Here is a 15,034-nt window from a genome sequence, read left to right as displayed (position 1 = left end):
GGCCAGGACTCTCCAGGCACTGGAGGACTCTCTTTATGCCCCAAGCAACATCTGAGTGACCTGAAGAGACCAGCTGTGCCAGGCTAGATGCCTCATAGCCAGGGGCACTCAACCAAGTCCTGCTGTTGCTGAAGTCTGTTCCCAGCACCCGGACTCCTCTTTTCAAGATGTGCCTCTGGCCCTCTTCCCCAGGCTGGCACCTGCATGGTGGAGTTAAAAGAGCATGTTGCTGAAGTTGGATAGCACTGGGTTCCAGTCCTGGTTCTACCACTGCCAGGCTTGTGTGACCTCAGACAAGTGACTCTGTCTTATGAAGCCTCAGGTTCCTCATGTATAAGTAGGGAAATGATAGCTCCTGTCTCGGAGTTACTGTAAAGATGAAATAAACTAGGCCGGGTGTGGTGGCTCACGCCTGTAATCCCAGCACTTTGGGAGGCCGAGGCGGGCAGATCATGAGGTCAGGAGATCGAGACCATCCTGGCCAACACAGTGAAACCCCGTCTCTAATAAAAATACAAAAAAAAAAAAATTACCCGGGCATGGTGGCGGGCGCCTGTAGTTCCAGCTACTCGGGAGGCTGAGGCAGGAGAATGGCATGAACCCGGGAGGCGGAGCTTGCAGTGAGCTGAGATGGTGCCACTGCACTCCAGCCTGGGCGACAGAGCGAGACTCCGTCTCAAAAAAAAAAAAAAAAAACAAACATGAAATAAAATAGCCCGCGAAAGCCTTAGCACTGTGCCTGATGTGGGGAACAGCTGCGTGCGCGTAAACTATTGTTAGTATTTCAGCAAAATAAATGTCAGTGAGAAATACCAGCATCACAGCAGGCTGGAGGAGTCACTGTAGCAGGCATCTGCCTCTTCTCCCAACACGCAGGTCAGCCTCCGCCCCTCCACCCCACCCCCTAGGGCTCCTCTCTGTGTCCCCAGCACCAAAACTTAGGGAATGTTTGGTGAACAAATGAATGAATGAGTGAGTGTCCCTACTCACCTCTGTGGGTTTCTCCAACACACCTGTCAGGAGGGGGCCAGCTAGAGGCTCCCCTAGTTCAGGAACCCAGACACTCCCTGGGCCAGGGTCCCATCAGTGCTAATTGTGCAGCTGTGTGCGACATGGTGTTTTGGGTGCCTGGAGAGCCTTCCTTGGGGATGTCACCATGTGGGGAGGAAGGGTGGGACACTAGCCGGTCCCTGAGCCAACACTGACTCACCCTCCCCCCTTGGAGGGCAGCTCAGTCATCACCTGGTGCCAGCTCTGGCCCCCAGCCAGCCACACTTCTTGAGGACCTGACCTGCCACCCCCCTGTGGATGGTGAAGCCTGGAGTCTAAAAGGCCAGAGAAGGCAGCAAGCCAGTGGCCCCTCGTCAGCTCACGGACTACTCCCACCATCCCATGGAGAGGAGGGCAGAGGTGGTCAGACCCCATCATACAGAGAGGGGACAGGCTTGTCCCAAGGTCACACTGGCCAACTGGAATGGAGGTTTTCTGACTCCCAGAGTAGCTCTGTGCCTGCTGCAGGGAACACTGAGCTGTACCTGGTGCTACCTTGGCACTTTGCCTGTGGTTGCCACTGCTCTTCTAGCTCAATCCATCCACATTTCTACCCCAAAGCTCTACCTCCTCCAGGAAGTTCTCCTCCCACCATCCTCCTTGGCCCTAAATGTACCCACTGCCACCTATGGCTGATGTCAGACAGTTTAATGAGTGTCCCTAGACTGTGGAATTCTTTTCTTTTGAGAGAGGGTCTTGCTCTGTTGCCCCAGGAAACAAAGACCATGTGTAGTGGTCATAGCTCACTGCGGCCTCAAACTCCTGGGCTCAAGCAATCCTTCAGCCTCAGCCACCTGATTAGCTGGGACTATAGGCATGCGCCACCATGCTGGGCTAATTTTTAAATTTTTGGTAGAGATGGGGTCTCTATGTTGCCCAGGTTGGTCTCAAATTCCTCAAGGAATCTTCCTGCCTGGGCTTCCCAAAGCGCTGGGATTACAGATGTAAGCCCCAACTGTGACATTCCTAAAAGCAGGGATGGGTTTTCCTTGCCTTCTCTCTGTCCTTAACAGGACCTGGCAGAGACTGAGAAAGTGCCTGCACAATGTACCCCTGGAGCAGACGGAGCGCTTCTCTTTCCCATGCTTGTCTGGAGCTGGGGGGACTGGCGTCTCCTCTAAGCTGTGCCCTCCCACCAGCAACCCCAGATTGTTAGCACTGGAAGGGCCCCTAACAAGATTCTTTTTGAGAGCCACAGGGGAGCAGGAACTTTCCCAAGGTCCTGATTTCCAGCTGGAAATCAGAGGGCAGCCACCTGTCCTGCCCCATCCCACGGAAATCTTGGAGGGGCTACTCCTGCTCCGTCTTTCCTCTCTTCCTTCTTCCCCAAACCCCAGCAGCTACCCCCATTTAGGGACTTGGCAGGATAAAGGCACAGTCTTTATTCCAGCCCCCGACCCAACCCAACTGGCAACTCCCAGCCTGCTGCCTTTGCCCAGGCATGGCAGAGGGGCACTGGCAGCTTGGAGATGGAGCTGCTTTTCCCTTTGGCAGTGTGGAAGGTGGGGGAGGGGAGGGGAGAGGCTTGGCCCCCACTAGGTGAGGGGAGAGGGCAGGGAGGCAAGTCCAAGAGGCAGAGGGAGAACACAACTTTCCCAGCTTTCGGGGTCACTACATTAAGATTCAAAGACAAACTGGGGACTGGGGGGCTGTGTGTAAAGCCAATTGTCCCTGTACCCACCTGGCCTGGGTCCCTGTTTCAGAGCTGCAGCCCTCAGTTCCTGCAAACCAGTGCTTTCTGGCTGCCCCAGGTGGATGTGTGCTGGGGATGGCGTTGTCCACTCCCACCTTCTGCTTCAGTGTCTTCCTCTCCCCGCATCCGCTGCTTCCCCCTCTTCCTCCCAGCTCCCTCCTCCCCTCTTTCTCACTCCCACCCATTTGCCTCTTTGTGTCTCCTCTTTCCTTCCCAGTCTTGCCCCTTCTCTGGTCTCACCCCTCTTCTCTCGCCCCCGCCCCTTTCTTCAGCGCCCCCTCCCCTCCGCTCCCCCGACACTGGGGCTGCTTTCTCCCTGACTCAGCAAGGTGCTTTATAAGGTGCTGAGGGGCTCAGCCAAATCCAAACCACATTGTGCAGACTCCACAAGGAGCGGCTTCGAGGCGGAGGGAGAGGCTGAAGCGGCTCCCCTTCTCCCTCTCCCCTCCTTCTTGGCCCCCTCCCTCTGAAAGGGTAGCAGCTAGGGGGACCTCCTGGCTGGCCTCCGTGCCATGCACCCATGGGCATCTGCCTTCTTGACCTTGGCATGGGCATCAAGAAATCACTGGGTTCATCCATCAGGAATGTCACTGAAACTCCAGAGTCCTGGCTGGTGGGGGCAGGGAGGAGGTGCGGGGGCGGTGGGGGGGGCAGAGGTAGGCCCTGAGCACTTTTCACAAGGGTCCCTCCAGGCAGTTTTCATCAGAGCTGCTACTGAGGTCCCTCAAAGTCCCCTGCCCCCCACCCCAAGCCAGCTCTCCTTTCCCAGCCCTTTTTCTCCTTGTTTAGGAAAAAAAAAAGGAAGAAAGGACAGAGAGAGAGAGAAAAAAAAAAACCAACCCAACAACAAAGTCTGTCCCACTCCAGTGAGGTAATTGAAAACAAACTTCTTCCCCACCCCCCCCACCCCCCCACCTCAGTGCTCGCGGTACAGAGAAGGGAAGAGCTGCCCTGGGACCCAGCACTGGCCATGATCAGGATGCCTGCCCAGGCCACAGGTTGGAGGCGCTGGGGCTGGACTGGCAGAGTGCCCTCCCATTCCAGGGGCACCAGGAAGGAGTGGGAGACAAATCTCTGATGCCACTCCAGGGAGAGGCATCACCTTCCAGGTCTGGCCCACCACTGGCCTCTCCCACTTTGAAACAATAAATAAACAACAACAAAAGCAACTTATTACCCAGTGATTTAATTGGTGGTGTGGCTATAGGGCACCCAAGCCTTGGGGACCACATGACTCTCCCCCAGGAAAATCATGAAGCAGGGCAGTCCCCAGCCCTGGGTTAGAGCTGCCTCCTCTGAGCGTGTTCTCCCCGGCAGCCCTTGGAGAGGGAGGAGGGGACCCCCTCTGGGAGGGTCCAGGCATACCCCCAGGTATCCTGCCCAGCAAATCCCAACCCAGGCCTGCGGGAAGGAGGGGGAGCCCTCACCGCTAAGCCACCCCCACCTCACCACCGGAAAAACCAACAACCCGAAACCCCAAAGGAAGGAGAATGCCAGGGTCTTCATGGGGAAACATTTCACAAATGGGGACGCTCGGGCGGTCCATCGCCTTGAATCGGAGCATTCCCGCTGAGTCACCCAAGAAGCCTGTGGTGTTGAAACTGGTCCGTTGCCTCGTGCTGATTAATGAATTACAAATCCCCCACCCATGTACATTCTCCCTGGTCACTGGAGGAAGAATGAAGAACCTTGTGAACTTGAGGGAAAAAGTCCCGCCAAGTGGCCTCTTCTCGCCTCTGGGCCGGGCAGTGGGCCTGCAGTGCCCTCTTCCTCCCCCGCAGGGGGCATTGTGAGCTGGTTAGTCACCTGCCCCAGCCCCAGCGCCTCGCTTAGCTCTAGCTTTTGGAAATGGGACAAGCGGCGGGACAATAGGCAGGGGGGGCGGTCAGCCCAGACAAAGGGCAGCAGGAAAAACACCATCACTTGCTCCCAGGCCAGCTCGCTGGCATTTGGGAGAATGTGTCATTGCATTTACTCAAGGGGGAGGAGGAGGGAAGGTTAGAGATGAGGAGGCAGAGGTAGGGTGGGAGCAGGGACCTCGCACAGGCAGAGGTAGGTTGGATCAGGGACCCCGCATCGGCAGGGGACAGGGGGCAGGGGGCGGTGTCCCAGGCCAACGCCTGGGGAGAAGCCCACCCGAAGCCGGCGCTGTCCCCCGGCTCCTGGGAGTCCTCAGACGGACTGATGGCCTCCCCGCCCCCTCCCCCAGGAGGCCCAGGGTGGTACCGCCACAGCCTCGCCTCACCTCACCCCCCCTCGGTGCTGTGGGAGGGAGAGGGAGCCCCAGAAGCCCTCCCTTCCCTCCTCCCCCCTCCTACCCCCACCCCGGGGAGGGCCGCTACAATTTGTGGTTACAGCTTTACACGTCAGAAAAAAAAAAAAAAAGTTTGCAGAATGTCCCACACCGAAAAAAAAAAAAAATCCGAAACCGAGCGAAAAAAACCTGCGAGTGGGCCTGGCGGATGGGATTATTAAAGCTTCGCCGGAGCCGCGGCTCGCCCTCCCACTCCGCCAGCCTCCGGGAGAGGAGCCGCACCCGGCCGGCCCGGCCCCAGCCCCATGGACCTCCGAGCAGGTAGGAGCCAGGCGGCCGAGGCCCCGACCCCCGCCCCGCCAAGCAGCCACGAGATCCGGTTCCCGTCCTGCCCTGACCCCCGGGAGCCCCGCGCCGGGGCCGGGCCAGGGAGCTGGGCTCGGGCCGGGGGAGGCACGGCTGGGCGCCCTCGAGAGGGGCCGGGCGGGGACGCGGCATTCCTGGAGTCCGCACGGCGGGGCCAGGAGGTGGCCGGGAGCGGCGGGGAGCCCGGACGATCGCAGACCTGGGGAGGCGGCAACCTGGAGCCCCAGCGAGGCGGGCCGTAGGAGCCGCAGCCCCAGAGCCCCGCGCACCAGTCGGGGCCAGAGAGTCCGAGGCGGGGAGCGAGGCTGCGGGTGGGAGGAGGGGCTGGGAGAGGAAGAGGGAGGGAGGCCGGGGGAGCCCGAGGCCGGGCGGCGGGAGGCGAGGGGAGGCCGACACCTCGGGCCGCGCCGCTCTCCCTCCCCGGCCCGCCGGGAGGGGTAGGAGGGCGGGCGGGAGGAAGGGCGGGCGGCGGAGAGGAGGGCGGAGGGCAGCGCCGAGCCTGGCTGGGCCGGGCCGGACGGGCCGAGCCGCGCCGCGGGACTCGCGGCTTCCTAGCTACGCGCCGCGCGGCCGGAACCCTCCATGGTGCCCACGGCCGGGGAGCCGGCGGCAGGTAGGGGCGGCGGGCGGCGGCCGCGAGTCCCCCGGGCCACCGTGGCCTGGGAGTGATTATTGTTTGGCGGGGGGCTGGCGCAGCCGGGCCGGACCCGGCAGGAAAAAGTCTGTCACTGGCCAGGGAGCGGCGGGAGCAGCCGCTCAGCCCGGGCAGGAGGGGAGTTGACGCGCGGGAAAGGGCAGCGCCGGGCAGAGCCCGGAGCCCGGTGCCCCGGACCCCGCCCCCGCCCCCGCCCCCGCCCCCGCCGCGGGGAAGGAGCGACCGGGCGGGAGCGGGAGGGGGCGGGGCCGGGGGCGCCGAGGCCACACAGGGGGAAGGCGCAGCGCCGGGAGGGGTCCCAGAGCGAGAGGTCACCGCCAGCAGGGAGGGCCAGCTGGCAACCGCCGCCGTGCAGCTTCCCGGCCGAGCCCCTCGAAGGAAACCTTCGAAAGAGTCCCCGGGGCTCGCCAGAGGTCCCCTCATGCTTGCTCTCCCCACCCGCCTTCCTTTCCACAACTCCGTGCTGGGCTTCTGGAGCCCTCCCCACAGACCCTCCCAATCCCAGAGGACCCCTGTTCCCCCAGCTCCCAGCCTGGCCCTCCCCCCGGGGTGTGAGGGGCTACCAGGAGAGGAGGGGAGACGGGCGGGTGGAGGCTAAGCCTTGGAGAGAGGCTAGGGGTGGGGGGCACTGGGCACGCTGCTCTACTGGGTCCTCCTTCTCTGACCCTAACCCAGGGACACCTCTGTGCTTTCACTGACCCCGACTGACCTCCGCCACAGCTCGGGAGCACACGTTGCCCCTCACACCGGACAGGATGCGAGTACATATTCCCCTAACAGACCAGACGCGCTCCTGGCCAGCTCAGACACCCTCGCTGCCCTGGAGCCACACGCTCCACCGGGGAGGAAGCAGAGATGGCAATTGTCACCCGGCAGCCCCAGAAGTGACACTGCTGATGGGTGCAATGGCTCCCTGTCCCCTTCATTCACAGACCCACACTCTTGTCCGTCACACTTCTGCACACCACCCCTGCACGCCACCCCTGCACACCAGCCACTGGCTCACTGACACTTCACATTCCTCCCCACGTCCCACCTCTTGTGCACACCTGGCTCCTGCACTCTCCTCCCCCCCCACGCCCCTCTTGATAACAACACCCTTTCCAATTCACCCACCACTGCCCTGGACTCCTCCTTCACTGCTCCTCCTGCCTCTGGCTCTCAGTGGGCTGCTGGGCTCCCCCCTGGCTCCCCGCTGGCCTCCCTGAGCACACCCATGGCCCTCTTGTGGCACAATCAGGAACCCTCTCACTCCAGCCAAAGCCCAACTCCTGTCTCGCTTGCTTGGTTACTGACTTCATAAGGCAGTGGGGCTGGCCCACCCTCAGCTTCTTCCCCTGGGCCTCAGTGACCTCTGTCATTTAGGCTGGAGGAGAAGGGCACAAAGGGGGATGCTGGAGAGGAGAGGAGAGATGAAGCCCCGTGTGTTTCCTCTAGGAGGAATTGAGCTTGCATAATGTGACCTCCTTGTGCAAGCCCACAGTCACCAGACGAATTGGTGGCAAAGCTAGGTCTCCCAATTCCCAGGCCCATGTGTCCCCACTCACCAAGCTACTTCTCAGTGGCCTGGGGTAAAAGGAACCAAGGAAAAGGCAGAAGGGAGATAAGTAAGAGAGGGGAAAGCAGCAGCCCAGAGGGTGGAAGGAAGATGGGTTTCTGTGGGCCTTTGCCTGGGAAGGTAGGTCAGGACACGCCCCTGGGGCAGTTTCCTACCGTCACAATGCCTGGACCTCACCCACTCCATCCCTAGCCCACTCCTCACCCACTCTGCCCGCCTAACCCACTCCATCCCTCAATTCCCCTCAACAGACCCCTCCAACCGCAGCCAGCGCTGGTCCTGGTCTGGCCTTTCCTCCTGGCTCCCATATTCAGCCCAGCCTGAGGCCACCATGCCCCACCTCTGGAGCTCTGCAGTGCCTCCCTGGCTGCAACATTTAGGGCTTACAGTTCTTAGCGTAGCTCTTATAGTCCCAGGTGCAGAGACTCCCATTGACTTGTCCTACCACCCTAAGCACCCTGGCACATCTGCATGGCTGAACTCTCACCCTCACTGGGAAAGGTCAGCCTGGGGGTGTCCAGGCCAGGGACTGAGGGGCAGCTGGCTAAAGTGGCTAAAGACATGTGCTCACGGGTGCGCCTGCCTGTGCAGCTGTCTGGGTGGCCAGTCACTTCCTTGGGCTAAGAGAGAGAGAGTGTGTGTGTGTGTGTGTGTTCATGAGGAGAGCCTTGGTTCCTAGGGCCCAGGGATCTGGATGGAATTAGGGGCTGGCCGGGGGTGGGGGGCTGTTGCAGGAAACGTGAGCTGTACTCGTTAGCTCCTCACGTGCTCAGCCGGATTTATAAACACACAGAGAAGACGGGATGTAAACAATCAGTGGGCAGCAGCCAGAGGCAGAGCTGGGGCGGGGGCCGGGCTGGGGGCCAGGACTGGTGGGGAGGGGGAGAGGGGGACCTAGGACACAGCCCCAGTGGCCGGGGTCCACCTGCACAACATGAGCCTGAGGGAGGATGGATGAGGGCTCCAGGAAGCCCACCACGCACTCTCCTCAGGAGGCAGGCGAGCTGTGTTGGGTTCCCAAGCTCACGACTAAACCGCAGGTGTTCACCCCACGCTGCTTTCCCTCCTGCTGCCTGAGACACGGGCATGGCTTTGCCCAGAGTGGAAGCTGTCATAGCAGGGGCAGAGCCCTGTCCTTCTACCCCCCCTTTCTTTTCTCCTAACCTCTTCTCCCTCTGGATTCCTGAGAACCCTTCCCTCTTTCTGGTTCTGTGGGCCGTCGGATCCTTCTGTTCTCCCCTGCCCCCCACCCGCAGCCTGCAACGACACAGTTACCTCAGAACTGAAATATTCCTGGAAACACCGGCCTCGTCTGGTTAATTTCATGAGCCGTTTTTTTCTGCCCAGATGACTTAGTTCTTGTCTATCCAAAGGCTTCTCCCCCTGCTGTCCCTGTGTAGGGAGCTGATCTCCCCTAGGGATGTCCCACAGGGCTCAGAATGGGAGAGGGTAAGTTCTGAGCTGGGTTCCTGACTGTACCTCTTGGCCATGACAAAGGCAGAGCCTAGAACTCCGGCCAGCATGTGGGTAAAGAAGGAAGCCTAGCTCCCAGCTCCGGCTTCAGTTGGGACCCTTGGTCTCGCCACTAACTTTGAGTGAAGCCAGACTCGATGCTGAAAGCGACCTCAAGGCTGGGAGGGCCGCTGCCCAATTCAGCAGGTCTCCAATCTCCAAAACTAATGCTACTCTGTACCCATAGGATCCTAGAGGTGACTGCCAGATCCCTAGGCTTGGAGTTGTGTTGAGATGTGAGGAGCAGGGAGGAGAAAGGAACTGAGTCAGGCAAGAGCTGGGGATAGAAAGGAAGAGTGAGGAAAGCAGCGTCCAGGAGGAAGCCACAAGCTCAGAGGGGACAGGAAAGGGTGAGCTGGTCTCCCCAGGGAGCAGTTGAGTGCCTGACCCTACTCTCTGTCCTAAAACACACGCGTGTACACACACTCACACTTGCCTCAAACCAAGACCCTGTGACTTGTGGTACCCCACCGCCACGCTCCCTTAGTAAAGCCGGCCAGTCACACATCTGAAAGAGTCCAGACTGACCAGGTGGGCCACTGCCGAAGTCCTCACTGACCCCTGTCCTCCATAAGAGATGTTTTATACAAATGGAGTCTTGCATCCTTCCTAGTTATTAGCCCTCTCCAAAACTGCCCCAGCACTGTGATTAGACCTAACCTAGTCTTCATTCTTTCTTGAATCCAAATCCCATCCTAACCATGGGCAAAGCGTTATACCTATCTAAGTTATTTCTGCCTATCAAAGCAACCTATGTCATTATAGAAAAATCTGAGAGTATAAAATATGAACTATAGGGGTGGTGGAAAGAGAAGGTGGCAGCAAAAAAAAAAAAAAAAAAGGAAAAAAAAAGAACTATAGGAAAGAAACCACTCATGACCTCACACCTATTCAAGCTGAAAACCCAAACTAGCCCTGCTCTTCATAACATGACAAGCAGCGCCCCATCTGATACCTAAACCGACCAAGTCACAGCCCTCCAACTCACCCTCTGCCTGCCCAGACCTCACCACATCCTTGCTGGACTCAAACCTCAACCGCACTAAATCAACCAAATCCCAAGTCTAAACTAATCTGAAACTTTTAAAGTAACCCAGTCCTTAAACCTAACCTAGCCCAATGCCAATTATATCTACCCTAGCCAAACCCTAACTGCCTTTGCCAGTCCAAAGTGTCCACTGAATCCTCACCTTGGTCCTCACTTAAAATCCCAGAAAAGCATATTTCCCCACTGCCCACATCCCTCCTTACAGCACCCAACCCTGGCCTCTGGACTCCTGGTATCCTGGGATGTCCAAACTCTGCAGTGCCATCAGCCAACAAGCCCGACTCGTCAAATGCACCTCTCTCCCTTCCTGTCCCCACCCTTGCAGGCTGATGGAAAGGCCTCATTGAAGTCCAACTTTTCCCCACCTAACACCAAGAACGGGGTGAACCTCCACACTGCCACCGTTCCCTGAGAGTGAGCACTAAATCTCCTTCAATCTAACCCCACCCTACACTTCCCACACTCAGGAATCACATCCTAGAATATACCCAAAACTAAGCCCCATAAGGCAGCCCGACCCTAGTGGTCTAACCCTATACCTTGCTTCCTATGGGTGAGTCTGTTCTTGGCGGCCGCCTCTCTCCTGCTTCCTCCCTTAGGGCTGACTGTGCTCAGCCTGCCAGCTCTGACATGTGCTGTCTCCCACCCTCTGACTCCCCTCAAGCTGCAGTGGGACTGAAGACTGGCAGGAAGCTAGGGTACAACTGGAACACAGGCAGGTCGACCTGCAGTCCCTAGGCCTGGCCCCGTCCCTCCATGTACACACATATACATGTTGGCACACACACAGTGGCACACATGCCAAAGACTCTCTCAGCTGACACACAGATCCATTCTCAAGTATCTACTGATAGACACTCATGCGTGCCAAGTCCTCATCCTCAAACATACACATGCCTCTCTTTCTCTCCCGTCTTGCCAGGAGTGTTTCCCCTCCTCCATCCCCTCTGCCTCCCATCTGGTGTCCCACCCTCACCCCCCACCCAGCCCAAGGTGGGGACAGACACCTGAGGGGCTGCCAGCTGCTTCCCCGTGTGGGCCCGGGCCGCGCTCATGCTTCTCGTCCATCCTGCCCACAGGGGACTCGTGGGGGATGTTAGCGTGCCTGTGCACGGTGCTCTGGCACCTCCCTGCAGTGCCAGCTCTCAATCGCACAGGGGACCCAGGGCCTGGCCCCTCCATCCAGAAAACCTATGACCTCACCCGCTACCTGGAGCACCAACTCCGCAGCTTGGCTGGGACCTATGTGAGTATCCAGCGTAGGAATCTGGGAGTTGGGGAGGAGTGAGGAGTTGGGGAAAGACAGTCCTAACCGTGGAGGGTTCTGGTAAATGATGGGGTGAGGAGGGGCTCTTTGGCTCCCACCAGTCCCCCTGTCTGGTCTATCTCCTGCCCTTCCCTCTTAGGTGGCCCCCCCACTTCCCCATCCCTGGCCCCAGGACTAGGCATGTGGGCAGGCCTCGCACCCGCCTTGGCCCATTGCCCCACTGGCTGCCAGCCCAGCCGCCCGCCTCCCCCTGGGGGCCGGGGAAGTCTCCTCTGTTTACACCGTGTTGTGGTGTCTCTTGCGCGGGCGGGGTTGGGTGGGGACAGAGGGGCCCCACCTCCCATGCCTGCGTTCCAGCTCGCCTCTGCCCCCAGACCTGGGGCCCTGCTGCTCTGGACCCAGGGGCCTCCCTTCCGTCTGCCTCTCCCATCCTAGCTGGGCCTCCTAGGGGGGTCATGGGGGAAGGGGACTGTAGGGAACCCAGGCAGTAGTGGCAGGGGGTTTAGGGTGTGGATGGAGGTTATGCTGTAAGGATTTGGGGGTGGTCCAGAGGTGTTCAGAGAGCCCAGGAGAGAAGGAAGGAGGGTTGGAGGAGCCGAGGACCATGGGGAACCGGCCCCCTCTTCCCGTGTTCCTCTTCCACATCCCAGACCCTACTCTGGAGCCAGGGAAAGAAAAGGGAGGAGGGTGGCGGGGGAGCTGGCTCCAGCCCCAGGATACACCGAGGAAATTAGTTTGTCTCTGTGCTTGTCAGCGTGTGAACCTCCCCCTGGGCCCTTGCCTATCCCAGGCCTCTCCCCTTGCTTCTCCCTTCTTTCCCAGTTATACATCTCCCTCATCCCTTTCCCTGGGCCCCAGCCGCTCCCCCGAGGGTTGGAAAGGGCTCTGCCCTCTTCCCTATACCATGCTGTCTTCCATAGCCTTCCTCCTGTCCTACTCATGAGACTGCCTCCATTTCTTCCTTCTGCAACCCTGCTCCTATCAGCTGAACCCTTCTTTCGGAGTGTTAGTGAGTACCCGTCTCTCCCCAGCCCCTCAGCTGGTGGGCCTGGGTGTGTCAGCGGCAAATGGGGCTCTGGTTCCAATGGGCCACTCTCATCTCTCTCTTGTTCCTTGTGCAGAAAACCTTTGCTTCACTCCACTGCCCTCTCTAGTTCCCGACCCTTTTTCTCTCCTGGCTTTCCCTGCCAAATTTCTCCAAGGAGTGGTCTACACCCTCTGCCTCCACTTCCTCTCCACCCACTCACTTCTTAACCCCCTGCAATCTGGCTTCCAGGCCCCAGCAATGGTTCTCTCCAAGGTCGTCAGGCACCTCCTTGCCAAGCCCGACAGTGTTTTGAAGGCTCATTCTCCTTGCTGTCTGTTTTGCAGCCACACTGCTGAGCGCTGCTGCCTTCTCGAACTCCTCTTCCTTGGTCTCTGCACTCTCCTGGGCCACCTTCTACCTCTCCAGCTCCTCCAGGCTCCTCTTCCTCTCTGTCCTGCCCCCACAGCGGGCACTCTCCCAAGGTTTGCCCACCCAGCCAATCAGCACGTCCTTCCTGAGCGTCTTGTGCGTCTCCTCCTCCTCCTTTTTCTACGCCTCTCCATTGGAGAGCTCACCACCGCCACTGCTTCAACTGTCACCTGCATACAAATGATATCCTTATTGGAAAAACTCAGGGAGGCCATGAACAAAGAAGCCTAGCATGGAGACAGGGCCAGTGTCAGGGGACACAAAAAATAGAAACTTTGGGAGCAGGTATCTCCTTGGTGGTGAGCCAGCGGCTCTGCCCTCCTCCTTCCCCATCACCCTCTCCTTTTCACAGCTGAACTACCTGGGCCCCCCTTTCAACGAGCCAGACTTCAACCCTCCCCGCCTGGGGGCAGAGACTCTGCCCAGGGCCACTGTTGACTTGGAGGTGTGGCGAAGCCTCAATGACAAACTGCGGCTGACCCAGAACTACGAGGCCTACAGCCACCTTCTGTGTTACTTGCGTGGCCTCAACCGTCAGGCTGCCACTGCTGAGCTGCGCCGCAGCCTGGCCCACTTCTGCACCAGCCTCCAGGGCCTGCTGGGCAGCATTGCGGGCGTCATGGCAGCTCTGGGCTACCCACTGCCCCAGCCGCTGCCTGGGACTGAACCCACTTGGACTCCTGGCCCTGCCCACAGTGACTTCCTCCAGAAGATGGACGACTTCTGGCTGCTGAAGGAGCTGCAGACCTGGCTGTGGCGCTCGGCCAAGGACTTCAACCGGCTCAAGAAGAAGATGCAGCCTCCAGCAGCTGCAGTCACCCTGCACCTGGGGGCTCATGGCTTCTGACTTCTGACCTTCTCCTCTTCGCTCCCCCTTCAAACCCTGCTCCCACTTTGTGAGAGCCAGCCCTGTATGCCAACACCTGTTGAGCCAGGAGACAGAAGCTGTGAGCCTCTGGCCCTTTCCTGGACCGGCTGGGCGTGTGATGCGATCAGCCCTGTCTCCTCCCCACCTCCCAAAGGTCTACCGAGCTGGGGAGGAGGTACAGTAGGCCCTGTCCTGTCCTGTTTCTACAGGAAGTCATGCTCGAGGGAGTGTGAAGTGGTTCAGGTTGGTGCAGAGGCGCTCATGGCCTCCTGCTTCTTGCCTACCACTTGGCCAGTGCCCACCCAGCCCCTCAGGTGGCACATCTGGAGGGCAGGGGTTGAGGGGCCACCACCACACATGCCTTTCTGGGGTGAAGCCCTTTGGCTGCCCCACTCTCCTTGGATGGGTGTTGCTCCCTTATCCCCAAATCACTCTATACATCCAATTCAGGAAACAAACATGGTGGCAATTCTACACAAAAAGAGATGAGATTAACAGTGCAGGGTTGGGGTCTGCATTGGAGGTGCCCTATAAACCAGAAGAGAAAATACTGAAAGCACAGGGGCAGGGACAGACCAGACCAGACCCAGGAGTCTCCAAAGCACAGAGTGGCAAACAAAACCCGAGCTGAGCATCAGGACCTTGCCTCGAATTGTCTTCCAGTATTACGGTGCCTCTTCTCTGCCCCCTTTCCCAGGGTATCTGTGGGTTGCCAGGCTGGGGAGGGCAACCATAGCCACACCACAGGATTTCCTGAAAGTTTACAATGCAGTAGCATTTTGGGGTGTAGGGTGGCAGCTCCCCAAGGCCCTGCCCCCCAGCCCCACCCACTCATGACTCTAAGTGTGTTGTATTAATATTTATTTATTTGGAGATGTTATTTATTAGATGATATTTATTGCAGAATTTCTATTCTTGTATTAACAAATAAAATGCTTGCCCCAGAACTTAGTCTCTTTGCCCAGCCTCACCCCTCCTGGTGCTCATCAGACTCTTGCCACCCCTGGCTCCCACTCCCTGCTTGCCTCTGGTGGAGCTGCACAGAGCTCTGGGAAGAGGCCCTCTTCCTCCCCGCACTGGGGCGATGGGCGCACCTCAGACTTACCCACTGCTGCTGCCACCACCAACCCCTTGATCCCTCAGTCCTCCCACACAGCTTCTGTCCACCCCAGGTTTCCCTCACCCCACCTTTGCTAAGTCTTCCTCACCTTTCTGGGATTCGGTTTTCTTTCTTTTTTTTTTTTTTTGAGACAGAGTCTCGCCCTGTCGCCCAGGCTGGAGTGCAGTGACGCGATCTCGGCTCACTG

At 58.9% G+C, this 15,034-nt stretch overlaps 1 protein-coding gene and 1 long non-coding RNA gene across 3 annotated transcripts in view, besides 6 other annotated features; one reads left to right on the top strand and one right to left on the bottom strand.

The window, feature by feature from the left end:
• LOC100130987 (uncharacterized) overlaps positions 1-15,034 on the bottom strand; it is a 73,849-nt gene that overhangs the window by 12,846 nt on the left and 45,969 nt on the right. The window lies entirely within an intron of this gene.
• Positions 4,665-14,674, top strand: CLCF1 (cardiotrophin like cytokine factor 1). 2 transcript variants are annotated; one of them, NM_001166212.2, is made up of 3 exons: positions 4,665-4,795; positions 11,216-11,382; positions 13,212-14,674. In NM_001166212.2, exons 2-3 carry the CDS (start codon positions 11,230-11,232, stop codon positions 13,704-13,706), a joined length of 648 nt encoding a protein of 215 aa, NP_001159684.1. In that variant the 5' UTR covers positions 4,665-4,795; positions 11,216-11,229; the 3' UTR covers positions 13,707-14,674. The 2 variants fall into 2 exon arrangements, with proteins under 2 accessions (NP_001159684.1, NP_037378.1); NM_013246.3 differs by lacking the exon at positions 4,665-4,795 and adding an exon at positions 5,244-5,318.
• Positions 4,906-4,955: a silencer, noted in NCBI's record as "silent region_3628". NCBI's record gives its function as "represses an Ori minimal core promoter by ATAC-STARR-seq in GM12878 lymphoblastoid cells {active_cell/tissue: GM12878}" and the evidence as "EXISTENCE:reporter gene assay evidence [ECO:0000049][PMID:35858748]".
• Positions 5,516-5,855: a silencer, noted in NCBI's record as "silent region_3627". NCBI's record gives its function as "represses an Ori minimal core promoter by ATAC-STARR-seq in GM12878 lymphoblastoid cells {active_cell/tissue: GM12878}" and the evidence as "EXISTENCE:reporter gene assay evidence [ECO:0000049][PMID:35858748]".
• Positions 10,016-10,065: a silencer, noted in NCBI's record as "silent region_3626". NCBI's record gives its function as "represses an Ori minimal core promoter by ATAC-STARR-seq in GM12878 lymphoblastoid cells {active_cell/tissue: GM12878}" and the evidence as "EXISTENCE:reporter gene assay evidence [ECO:0000049][PMID:35858748]".
• Positions 10,835-11,334: an enhancer, noted in NCBI's record as "H3K4me1 hESC enhancer chr11:67134979-67135478 (GRCh37/hg19 assembly coordinates)". NCBI's record gives its function as "activates a minimal SCP1, AML or CMV promoter by ChIP-STARR-seq in naive H9 embryonic stem cells {active_cell/tissue: H9 hESC(naive)}" and the evidence as "EXISTENCE:reporter gene assay evidence [ECO:0000049][PMID:30033119]".
• Positions 13,738-13,787: an enhancer, noted in NCBI's record as "active region_5089". NCBI's record gives its function as "activates an Ori minimal core promoter by ATAC-STARR-seq in GM12878 lymphoblastoid cells {active_cell/tissue: GM12878}" and the evidence as "EXISTENCE:reporter gene assay evidence [ECO:0000049][PMID:35858748]".
• Positions 13,828-13,887: an enhancer, noted in NCBI's record as "active region_5088". NCBI's record gives its function as "activates an Ori minimal core promoter by ATAC-STARR-seq in GM12878 lymphoblastoid cells {active_cell/tissue: GM12878}" and the evidence as "EXISTENCE:reporter gene assay evidence [ECO:0000049][PMID:35858748]".

This window comes from Homo sapiens, chromosome 11 (assembly GCF_000001405.40).
Source record: "Homo sapiens chromosome 11, GRCh38.p14 Primary Assembly".
In the NCBI taxonomy this organism is placed as follows: Eukaryota; Metazoa; Chordata; class Mammalia; order Primates; family Hominidae; genus Homo; species Homo sapiens.
This window is presented reverse-complemented; position numbering and strand designations above follow the sequence as displayed.